The sequence below is a fragment of the Homo sapiens genome, chromosome Y (genome assembly GCF_000001405.40).
Source record: "Homo sapiens chromosome Y, GRCh38.p14 Primary Assembly".
Classification (NCBI taxonomy): Eukaryota; Metazoa; Chordata; class Mammalia; order Primates; family Hominidae; genus Homo; species Homo sapiens.
Genome location: NC_000024.10, coordinates 1672475 through 1682008, shown reverse-complemented (window position 1 = coordinate 1682008; position 9534 = coordinate 1672475). Strand labels below are relative to the sequence as shown.

The following is a 9534-nucleotide window of genomic DNA, read 5'->3' as shown; positions in this document are numbered from 1 at the left end:
AAAGGGGGAGGGGGAGAGGGAGGGAGAGGGAGGGAGAGGGAGAGAGAGGGAGAGAAAGAGAGAAAGAGAGAGGAGAGAAAGAGAGAGAGAAAGAGAGAGAGAGAGAGAAAGAGAGAAAGAGAGAGAGAAAGAGAGAAAGAGAGAGAGAGAGAAAGAGAAAGAAAAGAGAGAAAAAGAGAAAGAGAGAGAGAGAGAAAGAGAAAGAGAGAAAGAGAGAAAGAGAGAGAAAGAGAGAGAAAGAGAGAGAGAAAGAGAGAGAGAAAGAGAAAGAGAGAGAAAGAGAGAAAGAGAGAGAGGGAGAGAGAGAGAGGGAGAGAAAGAGAGAAAGAGAGGAGAGAAAGAGAGAGGAGAGAGAAAGAGGAGAGAGAGAGACAAAGAGAGAGACAGAGAGACAGAGAGACAGAGAGACAAAGAGAGACAAAGAGAAAGAGAGAGAAAGAGAAAGAGAGAGAGAAAGAGAAAGAAAAAGAGAGAAAGAGAAAGAGAGCAAGAGAAAGAGAGAAAGAGAAAGAGAGAGAAAGAGAGAAAGAAAGCTAGCTTCAATTGGAAAAAAAAAGGATATACCAATTATTATTTTTTTTTCTTCCAGCTCCTAAACGTTGAAACCTGAATCTTTCATGTTCTCCTCTTTTGGTGTCTCTGTTTGAATTAATTCCATCTGTGCTGCTATTTTCCCTCTCCTGAGTAAGGAAAGTTATTTCCATATTGAAATGCTGAAGCGTATTATTTGGAAACTCCTAGGTTTGCTGACTTTCTAGAAGCATTCGCAGAAGACAGCGTGTAGTCACACTCACAGCTACGATTTATTTATTTATTTATTATTTATTTATTTATGTATTTATTTAGAGACGGAGTCTCGCTCTGTCCTCCAGGCTGGAGTGCAGGGTGTGATCTCAGCTCACTGCACACTCCACCTCCCGGGTTCACACCATTCTCCTGCCTCAGCCTCCCGAGTAGCTGGGACTACAGGCACCTGCCACTATGCCTGGCTAATTTTTTTGTATTTTTAGTAGAGATGGGGTTTCACCCTATTAGCCAGGATGGTCTCGATCTCCTGACCTCGTGATCCGCCCGCCTCGGCCTCCCAAAGTGCTGGGATGACAGGCGTGAGCCACCGCGCCCGGCCAGCTATGATTTATTATAGCCAAAGCACACAGAACAAAATGAACAAAGGGAAGATGCACATTGAGAAAAGTTTGGGAAAAGCAAGGGTCAAGCTTCAGAGTCTCCAAGTGGAATCACACACGATATACCCAGTTCTCCGAGCAACAGGTCCTGATCACACATGTCAGTCAAATGCTGTCGACCACAGAAACTCATTGGAGACTCAGCCTAATTGGGGGCTGTTTACTAGGGGCTGGTCCCATAGGCAACCACCCCCAAGTACCTCCCCAAATTCCAGGGTCCCACCCAGAAGGAAAGCAGGTGTTTGGCATAAATCACATTATGAAGAGGCTTTACACAGTGAGGCACCCTTGTCATTTAGGATGGTGAAACTTCTACACGCAAGTTCCCAGACGCCAGCCAGGAGCCAAAGTACCATGCTACCTTATCTAAAGAGAGCAGGATTTTTTTGTTGTTTGTTTGTTTGTTGTTTTTTTGAGACGGAATCTCGCTCTGTCACCAAGCTGGAGTGCAGTGGCACGATCTCAGCTCACTGCAGTCTCCGCCTCCCAGGTTCGAATGATTCTCCTGCCTCGGCCTCCCGAGTAGCTGGGATGACAGGCGCGCACGAGCACGCCTGGCTAATTTTTGCATTTTTAGTAGTGGTGGGGTTTCACCACGTTGGCCAGACTGGTCTCGATCTCTTGACTTCGTGATCCGCCCGCCTCGGCCTCCCAAAGTGCTGGGATTACAGGCGTGAGCCACGAGCCTGGTCTAAAGAGAACAGTTTTCTATATTAATTATTTCTTTATTTTTTGAGACAAGACTGATCAAAGAGACCCTTTCTACCAATAAGATACCAAATTCCCACCTAATTCTGGTATGGCATCAAAGGACAGATAGCAGGCCCTGAAGGAATCAGCATATTTTTCTGCAAAATATATTGTCTTTCACTTATCTTGGCACATCTCCGCAAAGCCATCTCTTGTGGGGGAAATTTGCATTCTGTAAAGAATCCCTATACAAAAATCAGCCGGGCGCGGTGGCAGGTGCCTGTAATCCCAGCTACCTGGGAGGCTGAGGCAGGAGAATCTCTTGAACCCCGGTGGCAGAGGTTGCAGTGAGCCGAGATCCAGCCACTACACTCCAGCCTGGGCGACAGAGTCACACTCCATCTCAAAAAAAAAAAAAGGAAAGAAGGGAAAGATTCCCTGTATTAGTCTGTTCTGATTCTGCTAATAAAGACATGGCTGAGACTGGGTCATTTATAAAGGAAAGAGCTTTAACGGACTCACCATTTCACATGGCTGCAGGAGGCCTCACAATCATGGTGGAAGATGAACACAGAGCAAAGGGACGTCTCCCGTGGTGGCAGGCAAGACGCGGTTTGGTTAGGGAAACTCCCCTTTATAAAACCACAAGATCTCGGGAGACTTAGTCACTCATTAGAACAGCATGGAAAAAACCTGCACCATGATTCAATTACCTCCCACCACGTCCCTCCCAAGACATGTAGGAATTATGGGAGCTATAATTCAGGGTAAGATTTGTGTGGGGACACAGCCAAACCATATCAATCCTCTTCTCTCATCACGTCTTCCCTGGAGAGTCCGACAGCTTTTAACCTCTGATGTGAGACATTTACCCCAGCCTGGCCAACATGGTGAAACCCCATCTCTACTAAAAATACAAAAATTAGCCCGGCTGGGTGGCAGGTGCCTGTAATTCCAGCTACTTGGGAGGCTGAGGCAGGAGAATTGCTTGAACCTGGGAGGCGGAGGTTGCAGAGAGTGGAGATTGTGCCACTGCACTCCAGCCTGGTGATAGAGCGAGACTCTGTCTCAAAACAAGAACAAAACAAAACAGAGAGACATTTACCATCCATTCTTTCTAAGCCTGCTACCTGCTGGCTTCATCTACATCACAAAAACCTTGTCTTCCACAACCCCCATCATGTAAACTGAGGCATTTCTTTCTGCTAAATTGAACGGCATATCAGAAAATCCTTGAATCCACATATGACCCCGAGGCGCCCACGTAGAGATGTCCTACCTTTCTGGCCCAAACCAATGTACGCCTTCCATGTATGGATGTATGTGTTTGTTGCAACGTCTGTCTCCCTAAAATGTGTAAAATCAAGCTGTAACCCAACCACCTTGGGCAATTCTCCAAACCTCCTGAGGCCGTGTCACGGGCCACGGTCCTTAACCTTGGCACAATAAATGTCCATATTGATGAGATCTGTCTCACATAGTTTTTGATTTACAGTTTGCAGATGGCTGCCTTCTCCCTATATCTTGATAGGATTATCCCTCTGTGTGTGTCTGTGTCCCAATATCTTTTTTTTTTTTTTTGAGACAGAGTTTTCACTCTTGTTGCCCAGGCTGGAGTGCAGTGGCACGATCTCAGCTCACTGCAACCTCTGCCTCCCGGGTTCGAGCAATTCTCCTGCCTCAGCCTCTCGAGTAGCTGGGGTTACAGGCATGCACCACCATGCCGGACAAATTTTTGTATTTTTAGTAGAGACGGGGTTTCACCATGTTGGCCAGGATGGTCTCAATCTCTTGACCTCGTGATCCACCCACCTCGGCCTCCCAAAGTGCTGGAATTACATGCGTGAGCCACCGCGCCCGGCCGTTTTTTTTTTTTTTTCGAGACAGAATCTCGCTCTGTTGCTCAGGCTGAAGTGCAATGGCACAATCTCGGCTCACTGCAACCTCCGCCTCCCCGGTTCAAGCAGTTCACCTGCCTCAGCCTTCTGAGTAGCTGGGATTACAGGCACCTGCCACCATGCCAGGCTAATTTTTGTATTTTTAGTAGAGACAGGGTTTTGCCATGTTGGCAAGGCTGGTCTTGAACTCCTGACCTCAGGTGATCCACCCACCTCGGCCTCTCAAAGTGCTGGGATTATAGGCGTGAGCCACCGTCTCCATTCCCAATGTCCTCTTACAAGAACGTCAGTCTTACTGGATCAGGGTCCACCTTAGTAACCTCATTTTACTTTAATAACCTCATTTTACCTTAATAACCTCATTTTACCTTAATTACCTCTTTACATACCCTACCTCCAAATACAGCCACATTCTGAGGCCCTGGGGTTAGGGCTTCAACCTAGGAATTTTAGAGGGGACACAGTTTAGCCCATAAAAAAAGGATCGGCCGGGCACGATGGCTCACGCCTGTAATCCCAGCACTTTGGGAAGCTGAGACGCGCAGATCACGAGGTCAGGAGTTCGAGACCAGCCGGACCAACATGGGGAAACCCCATCTTTACTGAAAATACAAAAAGTTAGCCAGGCATGGTGGTGGGCACCTGTAGTCCCAGCTGCTCAGGAGGCTGAGGCAGGAGAATCAGTTGAACCCGGGAGGCAGAGATTGCAGTAAGCCGAGATCGTGCCATTGAACTCCAGCCTGGGAGGCAGAGTGAGACTCCATCTCAAAAAAAAAAAAAAAAAAAAGAGGCTCACTCTTCTTTATCATTGAGTCGCCTGAATCAGTGAGCAATCCCTGGTCACACCCTTTGGAACTCACCCACAGACTCCTGAGCTGGATTCTCCTGGGCAGGCCTGGGACTCTGCATTGGAACATCTCTCTCTCTAGAGGGTGATTCTCCTGGAGTTAACCCAGCCCCAGCCTGAGGACCACTGCTCTAGAATCTTGCACCCTCCACCCACAGGGGCAAGACTGACACTCAGGGCCCACAGGTTCTGATATCTTCCCGGACTTTCACCCACAGTGCAGAAAAACGCTGAGTGCCAAGGCTCACTGCTACCACGGCACCTGCCGTGATTGGCGCTGATGCTTAGAGACGAGGATATGCTTCTCCTCGTCCTTTTGTGTGCTGGGTCGGGGGTACAGAGGCAGTTGGAAGCTCCTGGCCTCCCACTGGAGGGAAACTCCGATGATTCCACCCTGTCCTTCTTCCCTGAGTCCTCCCGTCCCCTCCCGGAATCCAGGCACCCACAGGTCATCTGTGACTCTCTCAGTCACCCCGCAAACCCACGAGGACCCCTTATTCTCTCTCCTTCGGTGGTGTATCAGACAGGGAAACAGAACCAATAAGATGGAGAAAATCAATAGGAGGTAGATATGATTTTTTTTTTTTTTTTTTGAGATGGAGTCTCACTCTGTGGCCCAGGCTGGAGTGCAGTGGTGCGATCTCGGCTCACTGCAGCCTCCGCCTCCCACGTTCAAATGATTCTCCCGCCTCAGCCTCCCGAGTAGCTGGGACTACAGGTGCCAACCACCATGCCCGACTAATGTTTCTTTTTATTTTTAATAGAGACAGGGTTTCACCATGTTGGCCAGGCTGGTCTCGAACTCCTGACCTCGTGATCCACCCTCCTTGGCCTCCCAAAGTGCTGGGATGACAGGTGTGAGCCACTGCGCCCAGCCTGGAGGTAGATGTTTTATACATACTTATGGACAGACATGTAAACACACATGTAGATAGGTTACAGAGAGATTTTAAGAAATTGGCTACTGGTTTTATACATATAGATATTACATATATATATATATATATATATATATACACACACACACATACACATGCAAAGAGAAATGTTAAGGAATTGTCTATATAGAAGGAATTGTCTATATAGGAAATACATATTGGCTTTAATCACACTTATATAGACACAGGTAGATAGATAGATAGATAATATATATAGAGAGAGAGAGACAAAGAGATTTTAAGGAATTGTCTGTGTAGGAGGTATATGTTGGTTTTTTACATACATATAGATATATAATGTCTATGTAGCTATTTATCTATATATAAATATACACAAAGACAGAGATGTTAAGAAATTCTCAATATTAGGATGTACATATTGGCTTTATCCATACATATCTATATAGAGATATATAATAGCTACATATCTATATGTAGGCCTGGCACGGTGGCTTACGCCTGTCATCCCAGCACTTTGGGAGGCCGAGGCGGGCAGATCACCTGAGGTCAGGAGTTTGAGACCAGCCTGGCCAACACGGTGAAACCCCGTCTCTACTAAAAATACAAAAAATTAGCTGGGCATGGTAGTGGGCACCTGTAGTACCAGCTACTCAGGAGGCAGAGGTGGGAGAATTGCTTGAACCCGGGAGGTGGAGGTTGCAGTGAGCCAAGATCACACCATTGCACTCCAGCCTGGGCAACAGAGCAAGACTCCGTCTCAAAAAAAAAAAAAAGAGGCGGGTGGGGGAGAGAGAGAGAGAGGCAAAGAGATTTTAAGGAATTTCTATGTAGGAGGTATATGTTGGTTTTTTACATGCATATATATATATATATATATACAATATATGTCTATATATACAATATATATCTATATATACTATATATCTATATATATATACAATATATATCTATATAGATACAATATATATCTATATATAAATATACACAGACAGAGACTATCTATACATCTATATATAAAATACACAGAGAGAGAGAGATGTTAAGGAATTATCAGTATAGGAGGTACATATTGGCTTTGTCCATACATATCAATATATAGATATATAATAGCTATATATCTCTATCTAGGCCGAGTACGGTGGCTCACGCCTGTAATCTCAGCACTTTGGGAGGCCGAGACGGGCAGATTACCTAAGGTCAGGAGTTCGAGTCCAGCCTGGCCAACATGGTGAAACCCCGTGTCTAGTAAAAATGCAAAAAATTAGCCAGGCGTGGTGGTGGGCACCTGTAACCCCAGCTACTTGGGAGACTGAGGCAGGAGCATCGCTTGAACCCGGGAGGTGAAGGTTGCAGTGAGCCAAGAACACACCATTGCACTCCAGCCTGGGTGACAGAGCAAGACTCGGTCTCAAAAAAGAGACAGAGAGAGAGGCAAAGAGATTTTAAGGAATTGTCTATGTAGGAGGTATATGTTGGTTTTTACATACATATAGATATATAATGTCTATATATCTATATATAGGTATACACAGAGAGAGAGATGTTAAGGAATTGTCAATATAGAAGGTACCTATTGGCTTTATCCATACAGATCTATATATAGATATATCTATATATATACATACAGAGAGAAAGGAAAGATTTTAAGGATTTGTATACATAATAGGTACATATTGGCTTTATTCATGCATAGCTATATGTAGACATATAATATCTCTATATCTATGTCTATATAAATCTATATACACAGAGAGCGACTTTAAGAAATTAACTATGAAGGAAGTATATGTTGGTTTTATACATACATATAGATATTTGAAGGAGAGACATTTTAAGGAATTGGCTACGTAGGAAGTATATATTGGTTTTATACAGACATCTATAGGTCTTGAGAGAAAGGGAAAGAAATTTGAAGGAATTGTCTAAGTAGGAGGTATATGTTGGTTTCATATATACATGTATTGATATTTGAGAGAGATTTTAAGAAATTGGCTAAGGCCGGGCGTGGTGGCTCACGCCTGTAATCCCAGCACTTTGGGAGGCTGAGGCGGGCGGATCACGAGGTCAGGAGTTTGAGACCAGCCTGGCCAACATGGTGAAACCCTTTCTCTACTAAAAATACAAAAATCAGCCAGATGTGGTGGTGGGCACCTGTAATTCCAGCTACTCGGGAGGCTGAAGCACGAGAATTGCGTGAACCTGGGAGATGGAGGTTGCTGTGAGCCGAGATCGTGCCACTGCACTCCAGCCTGGGCAACAGAGCAAGACTCTGTCTCAAAAAAAAAAAAAAAGAAAGAAATTGGCTAAGTAGGAGGTTTATGTTGATTTTATGCATGCATATATAGATATTTGAGCGAGAGATTTTAAGGAATTGTCTAAGTAGGAGGCATATGTTGGTTTTACACATACATATATAAATATCTAAGAGAGATTTTTAAGGGATTGGCCATGTAGGAGGTATAGCCATGTAGGAGGTATATGTTGGTTATATGCATGCATATAGATATTTGAGAGAGATTTTAAGGAATTGGCTATGAAGGCGGTGTATGTTGGTTTTACGCATGCATATAGATATTTGAGAGAGAGAGATTTTAAGGAATTGGCTATGAAGGCGTTATATGTTGGTTTTATGCATGTGTATACAGATACCTAAGAAAGGAAGATTTTAAGGAATTGGCTCAATGATTCTGGAGGGGAAACACTAAATTCTTCAGGTAGACCAGCAGGCTGCAGAACTCAGGAAGAGTTAATGCTGCAGCTGGAACCCGAATCCCGGGAGGCAGAATCCTTTTGTCCTTGGAAAACATTGGTCTTTGCACTTAAGACCTTCAACTGATGGGACGAGGCCCACCCTCATCGTGCGTGGTCCCTGGCTTCATTCAGACTCTGAACAAAATGTTCATCTCATCTGAAAGATACCTTCACAGCACCATGTAGCCCAGTATCTGACCACATACCAGGTACTGTGGATACAAAATTCACCATTTCAGGCAGTTCACGCTTCAAGACAGCTTGTGTGGATGGTGCCTCACCACCGCCTCCTGGTGTTCATTGAGAATATTACACCCAGGAATGCACCTCTCCCCTTCATACCTTTATGAGTTTTGTTTTTTGTTTTTGTTTGTTTTTGTTGTTGTTTTGGTTTTTTGTTTGTTTGTTTTCTGAGAAGGAGTCTCGCTCTGTCCCCCAGGCTGGAGTGCAGTGGTGAGATCTCAGCTCACTGCAACCTCCGCCTCCCAGGTTCAAGAGATTCTCCTGCCTCAGCCTCCTGAGTAGCTGGGATTACAGGCGCGCACCACTACGCCCAGATAATTTTTGCATTTTTAGTAGAGACAGGGTTTCATCAGGTTAGCCAGGCTGGTCTCGAACTCCTGACCTCGTGATCTGCCTGCCTCAGCCTCCCAAAGTGCTGGGATTACAGGCGTGAACCACCATGCCCGACCCTTTTCATATCTTTTCAAAGCATTTGCAAGTCCCCAGACGAGCTGAATCTCATCTCAGCCTGAGCTCAAACCCTGGAATGGAGATTGTGAATTCCCTTTGGACACAAAGTGAGGGGAGAGGTAAGGCAATTCTGCGGTAGGCAGCATTCTACTAAGAAGTATTCTTATGAAAGGCCAGGCGTGGTGCCTCACGCCTGTAATCCCAGCACTTTGGGAGGCTGAGGTGGGCGGATTACTTGAGGTCAGGAGTTTGAGACCAGCCTGGCCAACATGGCGAAACCCTGTCTCTACTAAAAATACAAGAAATAAGCTGGGCGTGGTGGTGCACGCCTGTAACCCCAGCTACTCAGGAGGCTGAGGCAGGAGAATCACTTGAACCCGGGAGGCAGAGGTTGCAGTGAGCTGAGATGGTGCCATTGCACTCCAGCCTGGGCGACAGAGCGAGACGCCATCTCACACACACACACACACACAGACACACACACAGACACACACACACACACACTGGGCGACAGAGAGAGACTCCATCACACACACACAGACACAAAAGAATTGTTTTTATGAAAGTTA

At 45.5% G+C, this 9534-nt stretch overlaps 1 annotated feature.

Moving 5' to 3' along the window:
• Positions 2723-3290: an enhancer, noted in NCBI's record as "OCT4-NANOG hESC enhancer chrY:1747612-1748179 (GRCh37/hg19 assembly coordinates)". NCBI's record gives its function as "activates a minimal SCP1, AML or CMV promoter by ChIP-STARR-seq in naive and primed H9 embryonic stem cells {active_cell/tissue: H9 hESC(naive and primed)}" and the evidence as "EXISTENCE:reporter gene assay evidence [ECO:0000049][PMID:30033119]".